Source organism: Homo sapiens, chromosome 9 (assembly GCF_000001405.40).
Source record: "Homo sapiens chromosome 9, GRCh38.p14 Primary Assembly".
Taxonomy (NCBI): Eukaryota; Metazoa; Chordata; class Mammalia; order Primates; family Hominidae; genus Homo; species Homo sapiens.
Window position 1 is genome coordinate 5,076,636 of NC_000009.12, and position 23,596 is coordinate 5,100,231.

Consider the following 23,596-nt stretch of genomic DNA (forward strand, 5'->3'; position numbering starts at 1 on the left):
TGGTAGTCTAAAACCAAACTGGTAATATCTTCGAGGTATGCCTTTATTTTAGTGCCTCACAAAGTTTACATTCAAGAAAATTGTTTATATAATTCCCTATTTTCCACTAGTAATGCAGATTAAATACACATCTACACTTGTATGACATTTTTTCATATCTTTGAAAATTGATAATCTTCTCAAAAGCAGTGGTTTGGAACCTGTTATATGGAGGTATCTGAGAGGCTCCTGTGGACCATGAAGGAATCCAGGATTGTTTTTGGAAGCCAACACTTGTTTTTCTGGCAAAATATGTTTTATATATTTTTTTAAAAAAGTTTTAAAGATAAAGCAGCGCAAAACATTTCTGTATTTTTTGCAGAATTAAAAGATTAAATGGAGCTAGAACTCAAATTCTCCTTTATGTCTATAGTACTATAGACAATTGTTAGTAATTTTTGTGTGTAGAAGAACTTCAGGAAGGTTTGAATGTCTAAAAAGTTATGTGGAAGAGAAATTGAGAAATTTTCATTTATTTTTAAAAACCAGCCATAATTCAGTACTAATATATAAAGGTGTGCTGGTATATTATATATTATACATTTATGTTATATATAATAATATATAATTGTTTAGACTCCTACTCTTGCTGTTGTAAGTAAACTAAAAACCAAAAATATAATGCTGTGTATCCATTAAGTTTTCTTTAAAGTTGTGAGTTTTGCCAATTTAATTTCTTTACCTATAATGGTCACATGTAAGTATAAAGATTTAAATTACATATATTTAATTATATTTATACTTAAGCCTTATTATTATTACTTATATTTTAATGCAGATATTCTGGTTCAGGAGTTTGTAAAATTTGGATCACTAGATACATATCTGAAAAAGAATAAAAATTGTATAAATATATTATGGAAACTTGAAGTTGCTAAACAGTTGGCATGGGCCATGCATTTTCTAGTAAGTAGTACAACCTTTTTATCAAAAGATACTATTTTATTTTATAAAACAATATACAAATTATCTTTACCTGGAAACAAAAAATAAATCTGTAATTGGATGCCAATTCATGTAAAATAGTCTGTGTTAGGTGATAAAAAGAGATTACTTTAGGCATATGTTTATGTATGTAAAATCACTTTTGAAAAAAAAGTTTTGTCATCCCATCAATATCTTAGAACTACTAATAGACAATCTGTATGTTGTGTCTTTTGGATTTAGAAAATTCAACCAAAAATTATGCAGAAGTATGTGCTTCTGTATTTTTGGGCCATTGTACATTATGGTCCATGAGAAAGCGGTGTTGACAGAGAAGAATACCAGGGGGACTGCCAGTCATCAGACCCCTCAGGGTGCACCTATGTCCTGCTGCAGAACTGAAGTAGTATTTCTTAATGTCAGCTCCCATCCAGAAACACAAACCATGTCAGCCTTAGAACTCATGTGAAATGGCATTGGTAGTTTTAATTTATTCATTTCATCACAAGCATAGATTATTGTGTTATTTAAAATGTAAAACAGGAAGCATAGGAGTCATAAATTTCCTTTTTTCTCAATGCATGCCTCCAAATTATTATACTATCATGTATTTTTCTTCTTTAAATCTGTTTTGGGGGCTTGAACATACTAAATGCTCCAGTACTTGTGGACTGATATTTGAATATATGTGCGTTTAACTCTAATAGGAAGAAAACACCCTTATTCATGGGAATGTATGTGCCAAAAATATTCTGCTTATCAGAGAAGAAGACAGGAAGACAGGAAATCCTCCTTTCATCAAACTTAGTGATCCTGGCATTAGTATTACAGTTTTGCCAAAGGACAGTAAGTTCTAGAAGGATTATATATAATGTTACTAAGCTTTACTTGGGCAGTGGTGTAAAGGGCATGTTGTTAATTTTCCTTGAATTCCATTTAATTTGTATGTTCCTGATTAATAATAAAATTATCACTTTTAGCAATTTAAATTGTTAGTTAAATCTTAGTCTCTATTTTTCTTTCTTATAAGCATATAACCATGGACTGTGAGGTGATTTTTTAAAAACAGTTTTAATCTCTAATTATGTATGAAGGATAGGATTTTATCCATTTTTAGTATGAAGTTTTGTAATATTCCTTGAGCCACAAGTAAATTTTCTAAATATTCTTTTCTTCTCGTCACTAAATAAAAATTTAGCCTGAGATTTTAGGATTTTTTTCTATCCTCTGTGAAGAAATTAGTTTAATTATCCAGCTAATTCTGACTTTTTAAAACCTTAAAAAAACTTTGATTTGTGTTTGTTCATCTTTACTACTTAACACAGTGGGTTAAAAATACAAATTTCAGTCAGATAGTTGAGAGGGGTTTTTTGGGTCTAGATAATTATAACTGAATTTTGTTATCTTAGATAATTTCTCTAATTGGATGTTCTAAATTTAGATTCTAAATTGATCAATTTTTGTGCACTGATGTGTCCTATTTAAGCTAATAGTACTTAAACTTAATGACTTATCTGACAGTGAAGACAGTGATAACTGGGCAGTAGTACAGGAGTAGGGAGTATGGCAGAAAATTCTTACAGGGTCTTACATCTGGTATCCTGGAAAATTTTATCCTTTGGAATCGGAAGTGAAGATGGAAAAAAATGTATTCATATGGTGAAGGTATTTGTCAATCAATCTATTTGTCTGTCTGTCTATGTCAGAATACCAGAAAGTAGGGTTATATTGCTTCTTCCTTTCTTGAATACAGTCCTTCTGGTGGAATCAAAGACCACAGAAACTTTACTTGAGAAATTCCGTGATTTGAGCAGAGCCCACCTATATCAATTCCATATATCTAGAATATTTTGGTGCAATTTAGCCTTCCATCTGCCATAAATGCTTGTTGGTCCTTGGGTTTTTTTTTTTATCTGCAAGTGGGAATTGCCATGGCTATTAAATCATTAGAACATCTCTGAATGATGTAACATTACCTTTACTACTTACGCATTATGAAGAAATACCAAAAAGTATCATGGGGCAATTTTAGGATAAACTATATAAAAAAAAAAGATTTGGCCAGGTGCAGTGGCTCATGCCTGTAATTCCAATGCTTTGGGAGGCTGATTGCTTCCTAAAGCGCTTGGGTGGATCACTTAAGCCCAAGAGGTCAAAGCATAGTGAGCTGCAATCGTGCCATTGCACTCTAGCCTGAGTGACACAGTGACACCCTGTCTCAAAAAAAAAATTTTTTTTTTTTGAAGGTAAAACTAATGGAAAGAGGTTGAGAAAATGGTATGCCAGTTGAGACACTATGGTTTAATGGAAAGATTAGTTGATTCAGAACTCACTGTACAGGATTCTAATTCTGTCTCTGCTGCTAACAAATTGTGTGGCTTTGGGCAGATTACTCAATCATATGTCTCCATGTTGTCATTGTTAAAGATGAAATATTGAATTAGATGATCTTGAAGGTCCCTTCTGGTTCTTAAGCTTATGCAGTCATGTGCATGTGCACATCCAACCCCTCCAAAATAAAGAAAATAGGCCTGATTATTCAAATGATTTGAACTTTAAAGCTATTTACATATAAAAGATTGGTTTACTTGTGAATTATTTAACCCTACTCTGTTCGTATCATTTAAAAGTTCTTCAGGAGAGAATACCATGGGTACCACCTGAATGCATTGAAAATCCTAAAAATTTAAATTTGGCAACAGACAAATGGAGTTTTGGTACCACTTTGTGGGAAATCTGCAGTGGAGGAGATAAACCTCTAAGTGCTCTGGATTCTCAAAGAGTAAGTTTATATAGACTAAGTTAGAATTACTCTATCTCTGAACTTTCATATTTCTTTCACATGATTTGTATTTTTTAGCCCATCTAATTTTAAAAAGAAGGTTGGTGTGGCATTACACAATTTATTCTCAGTTTGTGGTTCTTTAATTATAGAAGCTACAATTTTATGAAGATAGGCATCAGCTTCCTGCACCAAAGTGGGCAGAATTAGCAAACCTTATAAATAATTGTATGGATTATGAACCAGATTTCAGGCCTTCTTTCAGAGCCATCATACGAGATCTTAACAGTTTGTTTACTCCAGGTATGTATTTGAATGATCTTATTGATTTTCCAGCTTTCTATCTTTATTGTATTTAATGAATCATTACTAATTTTTAATTCCTTTAAAACATTTTCTTGATGTCATTTGGGCCCTCTTAATTTCTTATGTTCATATGGCTTTTCATGCTTTATACATATTCTAATCTCCTTGACTGAGAATTATTTTCATTTTTATAAAAAGACCTTTTCTTTTTTTTTTTTTTTTTTTTTGAGATGGAGTCTTACTCTGTCGCCCAGGCTGGAGTGCAGTGGCGCGATCTCGGCTCACTGCAAGCTCCACCTCCAAGGTTCACGCCATTCTCCTGCCTCAGCCTCCTGAGTAGCTGGGACTACAGGCGCCCGCCACCACACCCGGCTAATTTTTTGTATTTTTAGTAGAGACGGGGTTTCACCGTGTTAGCCAGGATGGTCTCGATCTCCTGATCTTGTGATCCGCCCGCCTCGGCCTCCCAAAGTGCTGGGATTACAGGCTTGAGCCACCGCTCCCAGCCAAAAAGACCTTTTCTTTCAGTAACCTAATTTTAGTTTTCCATTTAGTGAGTTGTAAATTATAGTATTTTTTTTTTGCTTAAATTGACTTTTAAAAAACAATTCTCTTTAACATTTCTCATATTTTATAATTGATTGATTCTCTAAACATGAGCTGTATTTGTTTTGCTTTGTTCTCTCCTTTTTCAAAATACTGAGCTGAAATGCATGTGTTTGACCTATAGGTGCTTTCTACCCCAGTACTACTCACCTTTCTCACAATAAGTATCAGTATATTACCTTACTTTATGAATACTAAAACTTCTTATTTTGGAAAACAAAATTTTATCCTTTGCAAAGTCTCTCTTGAAGGCCTGTCAGATTATGGGTAATGATTAAAGGCTCCCATTAATATAATTGAAACTATTTGAGTTTCCCTGTATCATTTAGTATTTTTAACTCACGATTATTTTGGTCAACTTGAATGTATATCAGTTTAGTCCAGAGAATGTTATTTGCTAATTTAAGGTGATAATATTCTTTATTTCTCCAGATTATGAACTATTAACAGAAAATGACATGTTACCAAATATGAGGATAGGTGCCCTGGGGTTTTCTGGTGCCTTTGAAGACCGGGATCCTACACAGTTTGAAGAGAGACATTTGAAATTTCTACAGCAACTTGGCAAGGTAAATTGTCAGAATTTTTTCAAATAGAGTATAATCATTTCATTTAGGAAAAACTTAAGAGCGTTTCTAAAGTTCACTTTCTACAACATTTTAAGGAGTGCTTGTAGAAAAAAAAGGTTTGGTTGTCAGATGTTGGAGAAATGCTGTGTTAAATAAACAGCTATCTTTACTGAATGAAGGGGGCCAGCCCCTCCACACCTGTGGGTAATTCTCGTCAGGTGGGACCAGAGACTGAGAAAAGAAAGAAGACACAGAGACAAAAGTATAGAGAAAGAAAAGTGGGCCCAGGGGACCAGTGCTCAGCATATGGAGGACCCGCACCAACACTGGTCTCTGAGTTTCCTCAGTATTTATTACTGTTTTCACTATCTCAGCAAGAGGAATGCGGCAGGAGAGCAGGGTGATAGTGGGGAGAAGGTCAGCAAGAAAACATGTGAGGAAAGGAATCTGTGTCACAAATAAGTTCAAGGGAAGGTACTATGCCTGGATGTGCACATAGGCCAGATTTATGCTTCTCTCCACCCAAACATCTCAGTGGAGTAAAGAATAATAAAGCAGCATTGCTGCCAACATGTCTCGCCTCCCGCCACAGGGCAGTTTTTCTCCTATCTCAGAAATGAACAAATGTATAATTGGGTTTTATACCGAGGCATTCAGTTCCCAGGGGCAGGCAGGAGACAGTGGCCTTCCTCTTTTACTAATCCTCCCCAGCACAGACCCTTCACGGATGTTGGGCTGGGGGACGGTCAGGTCTTTCCCATCCCACGAGGCCATATTTCAGACTATCACATGGGGAGAAACCTTGGACATTACCCGGCTTTCCAGGGCAGAGGTCCCTGCGGCTTTCCGCAGTGCATTGTGTCCCTGGTTTATTGAGACTGGAGAATGGCGATGACTTTTACCAAGCATACTGCCTGTACACATTTTGTTAACAAGGCACATCCTACACAGCCCTAGCCTTAAACCTTGATTCCATACAACACATATTTTTGTGAGCTTCAGGTTGGGGCAAAGTTACAGATTAACAGCATCTCAGGGCAAAGCAATTGTTCAGGGTACAGATCAAAATGGAATTTCTTATGTCTTCCTTTTCTACATAGACACAGTAACACACTGATCTCTCTTTCTTTTCCCTATAACTGAAGAACTTTTCAGAGGCTTTAACATGTAATGTGCATGAACATCTTCAAGAGGAAGATGAATTAGGCAGTATTATTCAAATTGACTTGACCAAGAGACTGTTCCTTGGTAGCAGGAGTTCATTGTTAAGTGATTCAGTGAAATACAGAAAGGAATACATAAGCTTTTCTGCCTGCCTTTCTGCCTTTAGTTATCTCAGGGAGAATTAATCTTATTGCTTAGGGTCTAGGATTTTGACTGTGCCATATTCACTAGCAGAGACTCTGTCTATTAAAACGTCACACAGTCATGTATAACCTACATATTATAAGTAAGACCAGGGAATGCTCAGTTCTTAGTAGGTCCAACCATAGTGGTAAGCTCTTTCTCGCATAAGCTTGCTAGGATAAGGTTCTCACTAGTAAGTACCATGTTAGTGTTGTCTGTTATTATCAGCTATTCCTAAATTCATATTTTCCTGAAATATCTCCAGATGTCATTGATTTTCCTCTTTTCTGGGAACTTATAGCATTTATTGTTTCTTTTATACAACTTAATCACAGTCTTCTGTTGTTTATTAGATCTTGGTTTTTGTTTGCTTGCCCTTTTTTTCCTTGACTTAAAAAAAGTTCCTTTAGATCCCAATAGATTACTAGGCACACAATTTTGTCATATATTGTCAAAACAATGGAATATATACTGGTATTTAAGAAGTAGACATAACAAAGAATACATCAAAAGATCACTAATTTAGATTAACAAAAGGGAAACAGCAGACTAAATTATAAAGTTATCTTTTCAAGTAATTTTTCTAGTTATGAAAGTGATATACTGCTTATAGAGAAATTGGAAAATATTACAATGAAGATACGTTCCATTTGTTGTAGTCTCTGCACAACTACACAATTTCTTTCAATAGTGAAACCATTCTATATATACAATTCTATATCTTGCTATTTTTCATATATCAAGATTTTCCCATTATTAATATTCTTTTGAGACATAATTTTAAGTGAATATACCATAATTTATTTACAACATTCCCCTTTATTGTAATTTTGAGTTAATGTTCTTTTGCTTTTTAACATTTTTAGTGTTTTCCATAGTTCCGTGAGCTTAAAATTCTTTTAAACATAAGTAAATTGAAGAGACTCTAAGGAAGGCGTTTTCAAAATACATGTACAATGAAATATATTTCTTAGTAATTTAGTTTGTAGGAAATGAAAGGTAAATGGTGTAATCATTAGTCAGTCATAGATATTTTAATGTGGATATTTCCTATCTGTATTTAACACCATAATTTTACTTTCATCTTTGTTTGTTTGAAGTAATTGATGTGTTCAGTGGTTTGTCTAGATATTTGTACTGCCTTACTGAAACAATCAAAATGCCATTCCTACAAAAATGATTGCATGTCACCTTTCCATTTTATAAAAATTAGCTACTGTATCCCTTTGTTATCCTTTTCAATTAGTGGTATGGTGAAAATATTCCAAAGAGGGATATATATTTAAAATTATTTTCATATGTTTTAAGCCAAGAGAAATAATGGTATATTTTTTTATTTTTTAAAAAATATTTTCATACTGTTGTAAAAGGAGCCAAGAAACTATTGTGAAATCTTTTCTTTTGCTATTTGAAATCTAGAGTGTTTTTTGCTTTCTTCCTTTATCCTCATGCCCACATATACTTATATTCTTTTTTAAATTAATTTTAACATGGATTATTTGTGTAATAGCCTTACATGTGGATATTAACAGTGTAAACAGTACCACATATAACCATCAAGACACCTCAATTAGAATTTATAGGACTAGAATGACAGATTCAGATGGTTTAATTACATTTAAAAAGTTTTCTGAAAAAACTTTTGCAATAAAACAAATTGCCCATCAATAAGTTTGATATCTTTTAAAATGATTTTTGGTTATCTGCACATGAAGCAAACAAAGTGTATTCCACAAAATTCTTAGGCACAGTCTGAGATAGCTGCCAGAAAGAACAGAAAGAGTTGTCATTTATGTCTTGTGAGTACAATTTCTGAAAGTTGAATGAGGGCGTCTCTTTCTGGGGATGAGAAGTTTACTGCTCTCTCTTATTGCTTCATGGCAGTACTGCTGGGCAAGGTAGGTTGTTTGTTTTACACCATCACTCTGTAATACATACTGTGGAGCTCTGTCTACATCTCCCGGCAAACTGAACCATCTCATGATCATAGCATTCATTTCTGGGAACTGCTGACAGGCAAATAGGACAGGACCAGTGGCTAACCTGAGATTCACATCAGCTGATGTTGGTTTGCCTATGTTAGAACATGAGGTGAAGTCGAATACATCATCTATTAGCTGAAAAGCTATTCCTACATTTTTTCCGTACTGATAGGTGATCTCATGCACCACTGGGTCGGGGCATCCTAGAACAGAGACTGCTTTACAACTGTTGGCTATCAGGCTCGCAGTATTCTTGAAGGTCTTTTCAAGGTATTGTGCAAATCTCTCATGCTCATTTTCTTTTGACCCGAGCTGAAGAAATTCACCACACACCAAATCTTCAATAACTCGGGTTAAAATAGATATAACAGCTGTATTTCCAGTTTGTGCCCCACCTATAGATACTACAGAAAGAATTAAATCTCCAGCAAGGACAGCCTTCTTTTCACCCCAGATCTTGTGTGTTTTCCTTTTCGAGAACGTGCATTATCAATAACGTCATCGTGAACAAGACTAGCAGTGTGGATCATTTCTGCAATTAAGGCTGTGGCGCGCTGGCTAGCTTGCACATGTCGGGAGTTATTATGATGAATATTACATGCTCGGGCCATTAGTACCACAATAATTGATCGAAAGGCTTTTCCTTTTACATCAAAGTAGTACTCAGAGATTTCCTTAAGTTCTGTTGTTGATATGAGCGGTTCCTTTCTAATACCCTCATACAGACCTTTCAAGTCTCTCCAACCGAGTTTGAAAGGATCGGTGTATTTCTCACCACTGTGTGTTTTGCTGTACGGGGTTGTGTGATGAAACTGTGATATACTATATACATTTGGACAGGCAGGTGTTAAATGCTTCACAAGATTAAAATAGGGTATCTGAGACAAGTCAAGTCCCTTCTGCCTATGAGCCTGCGCGGGCATCGGCAGCGGCGCGCGGCCCCGGCGGCCCCGCAAGGCTCGGGGAGCGGTCTCCACGCCGCCGGTCTCCAGCAACAGCCGCGCCGCCCCCGCCACCAGCGCGAGGCCACGGTCGGAGTCTGAAAGTCGCGGTAGGATGGTGGCTCCGCCTCTGGCCCGCGATCCTCCTGCCAGGACCTGGAGCCTGAAACCTCTTATATTCTTTATATCCTTTACCTTCTCGCTTCACTCCTAGCGGTTTTGAAATCCTCTTTATTCCTTTTTCCTCCATGGTGCAGATATGGGATTCAGAGATCAGGATCTTAGTGCGACTACTTTGAAATTATCAGCATCATTCTCAATCTTCTCTGAATATGATTCTTATTTTCCTCTCTTCCCATCATTAGCTAACATCTTGGTCCACATTCCTTGAATACTTTTAGTACTCATTGTTTTCTCATCACCTTACCTCCTGCCATTATTTTGGATGCCCTTCCAATACTTAAAAAAAAAATTCCTTGGCTTCTCTACCCCAAAGTTATGATTATGTTAAATGAGTTCCTTTGAACTCTATAATCCCATGTAATAACCTTACTTAGAAAATTTCCTACCCTGAAATCTCCCTGTCTGACTATAACTTTATAGCCTTTGGCTTTTTTCAACATAAATGCCTTCTTTTTGATATCTTTGGTATTGCTAGTGTCTTTCACACTTTCTTCTTATTGGAACGTAAATTGGTGACCCTTTCTAGAGAGCTTCTCATAGAGCAGTTTGTATCAAGCGCGTTTAAATGTTCATATCTTTTAAACTACTTTCGCTGGTATCCACAATTATATCACCCCCCCTTCCCTTGATTATCTGCTTCACTTTCCCTATTATTTCCTAGTACGGGAACAATACAACTTAGCATTTTTAAATTGTGCTTCCATCCCTCAAACACTAAAAGAAAAAAATCAGATATAAATCTTTATTGTTTTCATTGAAAATTGGTTTCCAACATTGGTTAGGCACTTATGACTCTTACTGGTTGTATTAGTCTGTTCTCACGCTGCAAATAAAGACATACCCGAGACTGGGTAATTTATAAAGGAAAGAGGTTTAATTGACTGACAGTTACCCATGGCTGGGGAGGCCTCAGGAAACTTACAGTCATGGCAGAAGGCACCTCTTCACAGGGCAGCAGGAGAGAGAATGAGTGCCAGCAGGAGAAATGCCAGATGCTTACAAAACCATCAGATCTCATGAGAACTATCACGAGAACAGCATGGAGGAAACCACCCGCATGATTCAGTTGCCTCCCACCAGGTCCTTCCAATGACATGTGGGGATTATGGGGTTTACAATTCAAGATGAGATTTGGGTGAGGACAATGCCAAACCATATCACTCCCTTACTTGATTTCTTTCCTGGTCCTATCTCAAACCCTTCTGGTTTTCTATCTTAAATCTTTCTTTTCGCTGTATTTTTCTTCATCTCCTTCTTCCATAAGAAAAATAGAGGCATTCCGAATTAAAAGTGAGACTGATTTTTGCCTATCAAAGTGACAAGGATTTAGAAAAAGTATAATGATCATTGTTGGCAGGGATGTGATAAAATATACATTTTCCCACTGCTTATTGGAACATCAAATGGTAACCACTGCCAGACAGCTTCTAATGCAGTGTGTATCAAGTCCCTTTGAAATGTTCTTATCTTTTGAACAGCTAATTAAGTATCCTTAATAGAGATGTACACAAATATTTATTTATAAGAATATTATTGCAATGACATGACTGTATTTAAAAATTTTTCTTAGTGTACATTTATGTTTCCAATGTTAAAATTAGTGCATTCGTGTGACAATATACAATAATTAAAAATTATTAATTTCAAGGAATATATAGTGGCACTAGAAAATAAATTTTATGAACACATTGTTAAGTAGAGGGGAAGAAGATAAAACTTATTTCCTACTTTTGTTTTCTAAAATGTGTTTTGGAATAATTTCTCACAACAGCCTCATGAGATAGACATTTTATTATTCTCCACTTTAAGGATGAAAAACCTCATTTTAGGGAGTTCTGAATTGTCCGCGGTCACAGAGAGAGCAAGTTGTGGATCAATATTCTAGTTCCAATCTGACTTGAGAGTCCTGGGTCTTGAGAGTCCTGGGTCTATCCACCTTATTGTGTGGCCTTCTAAACTGTGTAATTAAGAGATTTAACTTTGAGCCTACATGGTCTAGGTTTTTTAAAAAACTGACTTCAAGTATATAACTGAAAATATAGTCACTTAGAATCTTGTAACTCAAGAACTACATTGTTTTATCCTGTAAGAATGCAATAATATCCAAAATACACTAATTTGATTAATATCAAAAACCTATACTTTATTTAAATGTTATAGCAACTTACCAATTCTATGTACTTAATGAGTTTTAGGTAAAAAGAGTGGATTTCTTTAAAGACATCTTCAAAAAAAAAAATGTAGAGTCATCCCATAGGCTAAAAGTTTCTTACTTCTTAATTTGCTTTGGCTGCTATAACAAAATACCATAGACTGGGTAGCTTAAACATCAGACATTTATTTCTTTGAATTCCAGGGCCTGGAAAGTCTGAGATCAAAGTTCTGGCAGGGATTGGTTTCTAGTGAGGTTTCTTCTTGGCTTGCAGATGGCCATCTTCTTGCTGTGTCCTCACATGGGAGAGAGAGATTGCTCTAATGTCTCTTCCTCTTATAAGGGCACTAGCCTTGTCACATTAGAGTTCCACCCTTATAACCTAATTTAACTTTTATCACCTCCTCACAAGGCCCTATCTCCAAATACAGTCATATTGGGGGTTAAGGCTTCATTATATAAATTTTGGGTAAGGGGTCACTGACATTTAGCCCATAACAGACACATTCCATCCAGATCACTGACAGTGATAGCAAAAGGTATTTTGTAAAAAAGGAAAATTCTTCCTGGAAGTTAGTGACAAAAGTTTAGGAATCCTCAGCATGTCCCTTGGCTTATCTTGACAATTAATGCTCATCATTTATTTAAATGCTTTTTTGAAGTAATTTATATTTCAGCCTATAATTCCTTTTGAAGAAATTAAATTTACAGATTTACTACCCACCTGTTGAGATAGTATTTCCTTTTCTTGTTCTAAGAGTTCCTTAATATAAGCTTAAAGATAGTCTGCTGCTGGGCATGGTGGCTCATGCCTGTAATCCCAGCACTTTGGGAGGCCGAGTTGGGTGGATCACCAGGTCAGGAGATCAAGACAATCCTGGCTAACACAGCGAAACCCTGTCTCTACTAAATATACAAAAAATTAGCTGGGCGTATTGGCGGGCGCCTGTATTCCCAGCTACTGGGGAGGCTGAGGCAGGAGAATGGTGTGAACCCAGGGGGCGGAGCTTGCAGTGAGCCGAGATCGTGCCACTGCACTCCAACCTGGGTGACAGAGCGAGACTTCGTCTCAAAAAAAAAAAAAAAAAAAAAAAAAAAAGACAGTCTGCTAATTCCAGCTACTAGAATTTTCTATATAATTATAAAATTTATTTGTAATTTGCCTTGAAAACTTGGTATTTCCATCCTAATGTGATGTGTCATTTAGGGTAATTTTGGGAGTGTGGAGATGTGCCGGTATGACCCTCTACAGGACAACACTGGGGAGGTGGTCGCTGTAAAAAAGCTTCAGCATAGTACTGAAGAGCACCTAAGAGACTTTGAAAGGGAAATTGAAATCCTGAAATCCCTACAGCATGACAACATTGTAAAGTACAAGGGAGTGTGCTACAGTGCTGGTAAGCTGCCCATTGAAACCTATTTTAAATTCAAGGTATGTGTTTGGCATCCTGTGTAATATAAATGTACAATGTCTTAACGATCTGGACTTATGCCAATGCCCAGAGGGAGAGGCATTCTATAATGACTAGAGATTGTGTTTGGTGATCATAGACTATAACTATAGGAAGTATTTGGCTAGTTGGTTAAACATTCTTTTCACCTCTTGCTTAAGCTTACCAAGAAAGTATCATTTTTAAAGGAATTGTTTTTGTTTACATTTTCTATAAAAATATTTTTGAATTCAATGTTTTTTGTTCGATATCAATGAGGAGAAAGGAAGTTTTCTCATCAGTTTATTTTGGTTTGCCTGAAGAGTTATAGAAAACTGAAACGCAAATAGTTTCAAAGCTTTTATTCATTCAAAAGTTTTTGATTCAAAAAGACTATGTTCTTAACAACTATATCACCTTTAATGTATAATAAAGTTTTGTCATCTTAGATTTCATATATGTTTAAGTCATTTATGTATGATAGTTTTCTAATATTTAATCAGTATAATATGGCAGAGTAAAACATTATTTCCACCTTTATGTTAAAAGGTCGGCGTAATCTAAAATTAATTATGGAATATTTACCATATGGAAGTTTACGAGACTATCTTCAAAAACATAAAGAACGGATAGATCACATAAAACTTCTGCAGTACACATCTCAGATATGCAAGGTAACTAATATCCTGATTATTTGCTGTAGATGAAGCAACCGTGTTGAAGTAGACATTAGGAAATCATCTAGACGTTTTCATAGATAATAAAGGGAATATATAGGGTTAAGACCATTTAAATTGTTTATATTTATAAAACTAGCTGAAAGAAAAATGTTTTATCCATAGGGTATGGAGTATCTTGGTACAAAAAGGTATATCCACAGGGATCTGGCAACGAGAAATATATTGGTGGAGAACGAGAACAGAGTTAAAATTGGAGATTTTGGGTTAACCAAAGTCTTGCCACAAGACAAAGAATACTATAAAGTAAAAGAACCTGGTGAAAGTCCCATATTCTGGTGAGTATATTTCAGTATGATAAATGAAATTTTAGAGCACAGACTTCAAACTTTATTGTTGTTATTTAATAGTTTGCCATTTCTATATTTACAGTAACAGTGAACATTTAAGTCTTTTAAGTCTTACATTTAACTTTTTTTTTTTAGGTCTTATAGTCATGGTTATAGTCCACGTGGGAAAATGGCATATGCTTTATTTCTATTAAGTGTTGTCTTATTTATAGGGATTGTAGGTTTTTCTTCAAAACTGTCTCCTATTTATTGAGGCTTAGGGGTAATTATTAGTGGTGCTGTGGGTTGTGGTATTGTGTTGAATTTTGGTGGGGCTTTCATGGGGTTAATAGTCTTTTTTATTTACTTGGGTGGTATAATGGTTATTTTTGGTTATACTCCAGTGATAGCTATTGAGGAGTATCCTGAAACATGAGGGCCAAGTACTGATATTTGAGGGGCCTTATTATTAGGATTATTAATAGAGTTGATACTGGTTTGGTGAATAGTTGAATATGATGGGGTGGTGATCACGGTTGATTTTAATAGCATAGGGAGTTGATTTAATTTTTGAGGGGGAGGGGTTGATTCATGAGGATTTTGTAGGTGCAGCTGCCTTGTATAATTATGGGTGTTGGTTGGTGGTTGCTGGTTGATCATTGTTAGTATTTTTGTCGCAATTGAAATTACTCAGGGTAATAGATTAGATAATTAATAGTAGAGTTTAGGCCTTTTTGGTCAGATACAGTAATGGAGGCTGAAGTTTGGGTTCGTGAAATGGTTTTTGGTATAGACTTTTCTAGTCAAACTGGGTCTAGTAGAAGTGAAGCTAGATTTTGGCTTATGAATAGGCTTAAGTCGGGGGGCTGAATGGTGAATTGTAGCTGAATAAAAACCTAGTATACTGGAGAAGTTAAATGTCTATAATGGGTACTTTAAGGTTGTTAGTTATGAAATTAAGCTCTATTGCTAGTAAGAGACCTAGGGTGGTTACACCTAGGGCTGTGAGCTTTAGGTGGAGTGGTATAGTTGTTTGGGGGGATGAAGTAGGGATAATACTGTTAGTGATGAGGAATCCGGCGAAGATACTGCCGATTGCTAGGTGCTGAACTGAGTTAATTCGGAGAGGATTATCATTAATAACAATCAGAATTGTAAAACAAGGTTGTCCTATTACAGCACCTAAGGTTATAAAGTAAGCACAAGTAAATACATAAAAACGTTAGGTCAACGTGTAGCTCATGAGGTGGCAAGAAATGGGCCACATTTTCTACCCCAGAAAATCTCACGACAACCTTTATGAAATCTAAGGGCTCAAGGAGGATTTAGCAGTAAACCAAGAGTAGAGTGCTTGGTTGAGGTTGAATAAGGCCACGAAGCACGCACACACTGCCTGTCACCCTCCGCAAATATCATTCTAGAAATATTATTTAAATTCTCTATACATGAATAGAGGAGATAAGTCGTAATATGGTAAGTGTACTGGAAAGTGCTCTTGGACAAACAAAGTGTCGCTTAACCCAAAGCATCCAGCTTACACCCGGAAGATTTCATCACAACCTGGTCACTTTGAGCCAACCCTAGCCCCAAACCTCACTAAAAATACTATTAAACCATCGTAATCAAACCATTTACCTTAGACAAAAGAATAGGCAATAGAAATTCTTATCTTGGCACAATAGATACAGTACCGTAAGGGAAAGATGAAAGAACTGAGCAAAGACAAGCCCTTATACCTTCTGCATAAAGTATTAAGTAGAAATAACTTTACACAGAGATAGCCAAGTCCCCCGAAACCAAATGAGCTATGCAAGAATGGCTGAAAGAGCGTACTCACCTACGTGGCAAAATAGTGGGAAGATTCATGAGTAGTGGTGATAAGCCTATCAAGCCTGCTGATAGCTGGTTGTCCAAGATAGAATCTTAGTTCAGCTTTAAACTTACCCACAGAATTACTTAATGTCCCTGTAAGTTTAACTGTTAATCTAAAGAGGGACAGCTCTTTAGACCCTAGGAACCAACCTTCCTACAGAGAGTACAAAATAACATCGCCATAGTTGGCCCAAAAGCAGCCAACAATTAAGAAAGTGTTCAAGCTCAACATCCAAGTATCTTAAATTCTAATCACTCTACGGAACTCCTAACATTACACTGGTCTAATCTATTATTTAATAGAAGCAATAATGTTAATATAAATAACATGAAAATATTCTCCACCGCATAAGCTTACATAAGACTGGAATAACCCACTGACTGACAGTTAACAGCTAGATATTTTACAATAAGCATCCTATTATTTATACTGTTAATCCAACACAGGCATGCTCTAAGGAAATATTACAAAAAGTAAAAGGAACTCGGCAAATCTTACCCCACCTGTTTACCAAAAACATCACCTCTAGCATTACCAGTATTAGAGGCACTGCCTGCCCAGTGACATATGTTCAACGACCACCATATCCTGACCTTGCAAAGGTAACATAATCACTTGTTCCCTAAATAGGGACTTAGAAGAATGGCCACATGAGGGTTCAGCTGTCATGAGGGTTCAGCTGTCTCTTACGTTTAATCAGTAGAATCTGACCTATTGGTGAAGAGGAGCTTATAAGCAAATAAGATGAGAAGACCCCATGGCACTTTAATTCATTAATGCAAATAAAAACTCAAAAAGCCTATAGGCCTTAACCTACTATCTCTGCATTAAAAATTTTGGTTGGGGTGACCTCATAGCATATTCAACCTCCGAACAACCTAAACTAAGACCACAGTAGTCTAAGCGAGTTAATACACATTGACCCAATAATTTGATCAACAGAACAAGTTACCCTAGGGATAACAGTGCAATCCTATTCTATCATATCAATAATAGGGTTTACGACCTCGATGTTGGATCAGGACATCCTAATGGTGTAGCCGCTATTAAGGGTTCATTTATTCAATGATTAAAGTCCTATGTGATCTGATTTCAGACCAGAGTAATCCAGGTTGGTTTCTATCTGTTTAACATTTCTCCTAGTATGAAAGGACAAGAGAAATACGGCCCACTTCATAAAGTGCCCTCCCCCCATAAATGATGCTATCTCAATCTAGGAAATCACCACACACCCAAGAACAGGGTTTCTTAAGATGGCGGAGCCTGGCAATAGCATAAAACGTAAAACTTTACAATCAAAGGTTCAACTCCCCTTCTTAACAATATGCCTATAATTAACCTTTTCCTACTTATATTCCCACTCTAATTGCTATAGCATTCCTTACACTTAACAGTTACGCAAAGGACCTGATACCGTAGGCCCCTGTGGACTGCTTCAACCATTTGCTGACCCAATAAAACTTTTCACCAGAGAACCCTTACGACCCTCAACGTCTACTGTTACCCTTTATATCATTGCCTCCAACCCTGGCCCTTTCTATCACCCTCCTCTTCTGGACTCCCCTTCCTATACCCCATCCCCTAATTAATTTTAATATAGGCCTCTTATTTATTCTAGCCACATCAAGCCTAGCAGTCTATTCCATTCTATGATCAGGATAAGCATCCAATTCAAATTATGTACTGATCGGCACACTACGAGCTGTGGCCCAGACAATTTCATATGAAGTCACCCTAGCCATTATCCTGCTATCACTACTACTGCTAAGTGGCTCAACTTATATGCATGCATCACAATGCCAGAATTACTCTGACCGCTCCTACCATCATGACCCTTAGCCATATTATGATTTATTTCCACACTAGCAAAAACTAACCGAGCCCCTTTTGACTTAACAGAAAGAGAATCAGAACTAGTTTCAGGCTTCAATGTCGAATATGCTGCAAGTTCATTTGCCCTCTTCTTTATAGCAGAATATATGAATATTATTGTATAAATGCCCTGACTACTACTATTTTTCTAGGAGTACTACACACTATGTATTCACCAGAACTCTGTACCATAAATTTCATTACCAAGACCCTCCTTTTAACCACCGTTTTTATGAATCCGAACAGCATACCTCCAATTCCACTACAACCAACTCATATACCTTTTATGAAAAAATTTCCTACCACTTACATTAGCATTCTGCATATATCTCAATGCCTTTCCTAATTTCCAGCATTCCACCCCAAACATAGGAAATATGTCTGACAAAAGAATTACTTTGATAGAGTAAACAAGAGAGGTTAAAATCCTCTTATTTCTGGAACTATAGGAATTGAACCTATCCCTGAGACTCCAAAATTCTCCATGCTACCTATTAAACCATATCCTAAAGTAAGTTCAGCTAAATAAGCTATTGGGCCCATTCTCCTGAAAATGTTGGTTATACCCTTCCCATACTAATTAATCCATTAGCTCAACTTATTATCTCTCTTACTATTTTCACAGGAACCCTCATCACAATGCTACGCTCACACTGATTTCTTATCTGAACAGGCCTAGGAATAAATATAGTAGTTCTTACCCCCATCTTGATTAAAAAAACAAATCTCCACTCTACAGAAGCAGCCACCAAATATTTTCTTACACAAGCAACTGCATCTATAATTCTCATGATGGGTATCCTTTTCAACAACCCGTCCTCCGGGCAATGGACAATAATAAACACTACTAATCAATTTTCATCCTTAATAATAACAGCCCTAGTAATAAAGCTAGAAATAGCCCCCTTTCACTTCCGAGTCCCAGAAGTAACCCAGGGAACTTCTCTAATGTCTGGCATACTTCTCCTCACATGACAAAAACTAGCCCCTATCTCAATTATATTTCAAATTTTCCCATCAATAAACACGACCAGTCTCCTATCTATCACAATCCTATCCATTAACGTAAGCGGTTGAGGAGGACTTAATCAAACACAATTCTGCAAAATCTTAACCTACTCCTCAATTACTCATATAGGTTGAATGATCCCAGTACTAACTTATAATCCAAACGTTACCATTATAAATCTGATTGTTTACCTTATTTTAACAACTACCACATTTCTAGCACTTAGCCTAAGTATAAGCACTACAACCCTGTCACTGTCTCACACTTGAAACAAATTAACATGATTAACACCTATAGTTTCACTAATTCTACTATCCCTAGGAGCTTTACCTCCATTAACAGGATTTCTGCCTGAATGAGTCATCATTCAAGAATTTTCAAAAAACAATAGTCTTATTACCCCAACCATTATAGCTATCATAACACTACTCAACCTGTAGTTTTATATATGCCTAATTTACTCCATCTCAATGACAATATTCCCCACATCCAATAATACGAAAATAAAATGACAATTCAAAAACACAAAACCCATATTACTCCTCCCTCCACTTATTTCTTCTACCTTCCTCTTACCCATCTCTCCACTGATTCTAGTTATAACTTAGAAATTTAGGTTAAATAAGACCAGGGACCTTCAAAACCCTTAGTAAATGAATTATACTTAATTTCTGTAACAAACCCAAGGACTGCAAAACTCTATTCTGCATCAGTTGAACGCAAATCAACCACTTTAATTAAGCTAAGTCCTTGCTAGATCGGTGGAATTCAAACCCACAAAAATTTAGTTAACAGCTAAATACCCTAATCAACTGGCTTCAATCTACTTCTCCCTCCATGTGGGGGGAGGGTGGTAGGCCGGAGAAGCCCTGGCAGCATTGAAGCTGCTCCTTTGAATTTGCAATTCAACATAAAAAATTACCTCAGGGCTGGTAAAAAGAGGTCTTGACCTCTGTCTTTAGATTTACAGTCCAATGCTTACTCAGCCATTTTACCCTTTTTTCCACTTATGTTCATCAATTGTTGATTGTTTTCAACCAATCACAAAGCTATCGGAACACTATACCTGCTGTTCGGCGCATGAGTGGGGATAGTGGGTACCTCCTTAAGCCTTCTAATTTGAGCAGAATTAGGTCAACCAGGAACTCTGCTAGGAGATGACCAGATCTATAATGTTATTGTTACCGCCCACGAATTTGTCATAATCTTCTTTATGGTCATATCAATTATAATTGGGGGTTTCGGCAACTAACTAGTCCCTCTGATAATTGCTGCCCCTGATATGGCATTTCCACGGATAAATAATAATGAGCTTTTTACTTCTCCCCCACTCTTTCCTACTCCTACTTGCATCCTCAATAGAAGCCGGTGCTGGAACTGGCTGAACAGTTTATCCCCCTTTAGCTGAAAACCTAACACATGCAGGATCCTTTGTGGGTCTTACCATCTTCTCACTTCACTTGGCAGGTATTCTATTTTAGGAGCCATTAACTTTATTACTACAATTATTAACAAAAAGCCCCCAGCCATATCCCAATATCAAACACCCCTTTTCGTCCAACCATTCCTCATTACAGCAATCCTACTCCTTTCTCTCTCAGTCCTAGCCGCTGGCATTACCACAATATTAACTGACCGTAACCTCAACACTACTTTTTGACCCTGCTGGTGGGGGTGATCCTATCTTATATCAACATTTATTCTGATTCTTTGGTCACCCTGAAGTTTATATCCTTATTCTATCAGGCTTTGGGATGATCTCCCATGTCGTGACGTATTACTCTGGAAAAAAGGAGCCATTTGGGTATATGGGCATAGTATGAGCCATAATATCTATTGGCTTCTTAGGGTTTATTGTATGAGCACACCATATATTTACAGTAGGAACAGACATAGACACAGACACATGAGCATACTTCACCTCCGCTACCATAATTACTGCTATGCCTACTGGCATCAAGGTCTTTAGCTGATTAGCTACACTGCGTGGTGGTAACATCAAATGATCTCCCGCAATGTTCTGAGCCCTAGGATTCATCTTTCTTTTCACAGTAGGAGGTCTAATTGGCATTGTACTAGCTAATTCATCACTAGATATTATTTTACATGATACATACTATGTTGTAGCTCATTTCCACTACGTCCTATCACCAGGAGCGGTGTTCGCCATCATAGGAGGCTTTACCACTGGTTCCCCCATTCTCAGGTTATATGCTTAATCAGACCTACGCTAAAATTCACTTCACCATTATATTCATAGGTGTTAATTTAACCTTTTTCCCACAGCACTTCCTTGGCCTATCCGGTATGCCGCAACGTTATTCCGATTATCCTGATGCATACACCGCATGAAATATTATCTCATCCTTAGGCTCATTTATCTCATTAGCAGCAGTTATGCTAACAATTTTTATAATCTGAGAAGCCTTTGTTTCGAAAAGAAAAACTATAACAATTGAACAACCATCTAGTAATTTAGAGTGACTTTATGGCTGTCCACCACCTTACCACACATTTGAAGAGCCAACCTACATTAAACCCTTAAATGAAAAAGAAAGGAATTAACTTCCAGAAACTGGTTTCAAGCCAATCAAAAACCTCTGTGACTTTCTCGATAAGATATTAGCAAATTCATTACGTAACTTTGTCAAAGTTAAGTTATAGGCTAAATCCTATATGTCTTAATGGCTCATCCAGTTCAATTAGGCCTTCAAGACGCTACATCCCCTATCATAGAAGAACCGCTCACTTTCCGTGACCACGTTCTTATAATTATTTTCCTAATTAGTTCCTGGTTCTATACATTATTTCCGTAATACTCACAACAAAATTAACTCATATTAGCACCACAGATGCCCAAGAAATTGAGACTGTTTGAACTATCTTACCTGCCATTATCTTAATTTTAAGGCCTCTCATCCCTACGTATTCTGTATAAAACAGATGAAGTTAATAATCCTTCCCTTACTGTCAAAGCAATTGGTCATCAATGATATTGAAGCTATGAATATATAGACTATGAAGAATTAAGCTTCAATTCCTTTTTTTTTTTTTTGAGACAGAGTCTCGCTCTGTCGCCCAGGCTGCAGTGCAGTGGTGTGATCTCAGCTCACTGCAAGCTCTGCCTCCCGGGTTCACGCCATTCTCCTGCCTCAGCCTCCCGAGTAGCTGGGACTACAGGCGACCGCCACCATGCCTGGGTAATTTTTTTGTATTTTTAGTAGAGACGGGGTTTCACCATGTTAGCCAGGATGGTCTTCATCTCCTGACGTTGTGTTCCACCCACTTCAGCCTCCCAAAGTGCTGGGATTACAGGCGTGTGAGCCACTGCGCCCGGCTTAAGCTTCAATTCTTATATAACCCCAACACCAGACTTAAAACCAGGAGAACTTCGACTCCTTGAAGTTGATAACCGAACAATTCTCCCAACAGAAATACCCATCCATATATTAATCTCATCTGAAGACATCCTGCACTCATGAACTATCCCCTTATTAGGCCTCAAAACAGATGCAATCCCCAGATGCTTAAATCAAACTACCTTAACCACTGGGCGACCAGGTCTTTACTATGGACAGTGCTCAGAAATTTGTGAATCTAACCAGTTTTATACCTATTGTCCTAGAACTAATCCTCTTAAAATATTTCAAAACCTGATCCACATCTACACTAAAATATCACTGTAAAGCTATTCAGCATTTACCTTTTAAGTTAAAGATTGACGGAGTCTACACCTCTCTGCAGTGAATGCCTCAACTAGATACTTCCACATGATCCATTATTATCCTGTCAATAATCATAACTTTATTCTCCATTATTCAGTTAAAATTATTAAATTTCATTTATATTATCCCTACACCAAAAATAATCAAAACACAAAAACACAAGGCTTCCTGAGAATTAAAATGAACGAAATCTATTCATCTCTTTTGCTACCCCTACAATTCTAGGCCTACCAGCAGTAGTATTAATCATTCTGTTTCCCACTGTTTCCAACCTCTAGTCATCAAATTAGTAACCGATTATTTTCTATTCAACGATGATTAATCCAACCTGCACTAAAACAGATAATAATTACCCATAACATTAAAGGACAAACCTGATCCCTTATAATAATATCCCTAATTATCTTCACTGCCTCAACCAACCTCCTTGGGCTTCTACCCCATTCATTTACACCAACTATCCAATTATCAATAAACCTGGGTATAGCAATCCCCCTGTGAGCAGGCGCAGTAATTACAGTCTTCTGCTTTAAAACGAAAAACTCCTTGGCTGGCTTTTTACCACAAGGCACACCTATGCCACTTATCCCTATACTAGTAATCATTGAAACCATTAGCCTATTTATTCAACCAATAGCATTAGCTGTGCAATTAACAGCCAACATTATAGTCAGTCATCTACTAATACATTTAATTGCAGGAGACACACTAGTACTATTAGCTATTAGTTTTCCCACAGCTTCAGTTGCTTTTATTATTCTAATCCTACTGACTATTCTCAAATTCGCCATAGACCTTATTCAGGCTTATGTCTTCACACTACTAGTAAGCCTTTATCTATATGACAACA

The 23,596-nt window shown here is 36.8% G+C and overlaps 2 protein-coding genes and 8 pseudogenes across 10 annotated transcripts in view; 8 read left to right on the forward strand and 2 right to left on the reverse strand.

The window, feature by feature from the left end:
• JAK2 (Janus kinase 2) overlaps positions 1-23,596 on the forward strand; it is a 145,559-nt gene that overhangs the window by 92,246 nt on the left and 29,717 nt on the right. For all 9 annotated transcript variants that reach the window (NR_169763.1, NR_169764.1, NM_001322194.2 and 6 more), the window contains 8 exons: positions 818-945; positions 1,671-1,809; positions 3,594-3,745; positions 3,898-4,048; positions 5,090-5,226; positions 13,039-13,228; positions 13,811-13,935; positions 14,104-14,276. Coding sequence is in view for 7 of the 9 variants with exons in the window: in NM_001322194.2 (NP_001309123.1) it covers positions 818-945; positions 1,671-1,809; positions 3,594-3,745; positions 3,898-4,048; positions 5,090-5,226; positions 13,039-13,228; positions 13,811-13,935; positions 14,104-14,276 (1,195 nt within the window). In the remaining 2 variants the exon portion in view is untranslated. The remainder of the gene's footprint in view (positions 1-817; positions 946-1,670; positions 1,810-3,593; positions 3,746-3,897; positions 4,049-5,089; positions 5,227-13,038; positions 13,229-13,810; positions 13,936-14,103; positions 14,277-23,596) is intronic.
• INSL6 (insulin like 6) overlaps positions 1-23,596 on the reverse strand; it is a 193,664-nt gene that overhangs the window by 84,660 nt on the left and 85,408 nt on the right. The gene's annotated exons all lie outside the window — the stretch shown is intronic.
• Positions 8,055-9,596, reverse strand: PDSS1P1 (decaprenyl diphosphate synthase subunit 1 pseudogene 1; annotated as a pseudogene).
• Positions 14,458-14,969, forward strand: MTND6P5 (MT-ND6 pseudogene 5; annotated as a pseudogene).
• Positions 14,974-15,444, forward strand: MTND5P36 (MT-ND5 pseudogene 36; annotated as a pseudogene).
• Positions 17,465-18,381, forward strand: MTND1P11 (MT-ND1 pseudogene 11; annotated as a pseudogene).
• On the forward strand, positions 18,593-19,623 carry MTND2P36 (MT-ND2 pseudogene 36; annotated as a pseudogene).
• MTCO1P11 (MT-CO1 pseudogene 11) lies at positions 20,031-21,558 on the forward strand (annotated as a pseudogene).
• Positions 21,706-22,690, forward strand: MTCO2P11 (MT-CO2 pseudogene 11; annotated as a pseudogene).
• MTATP6P11 (MT-ATP6 pseudogene 11) lies at positions 22,925-23,594 on the forward strand (annotated as a pseudogene).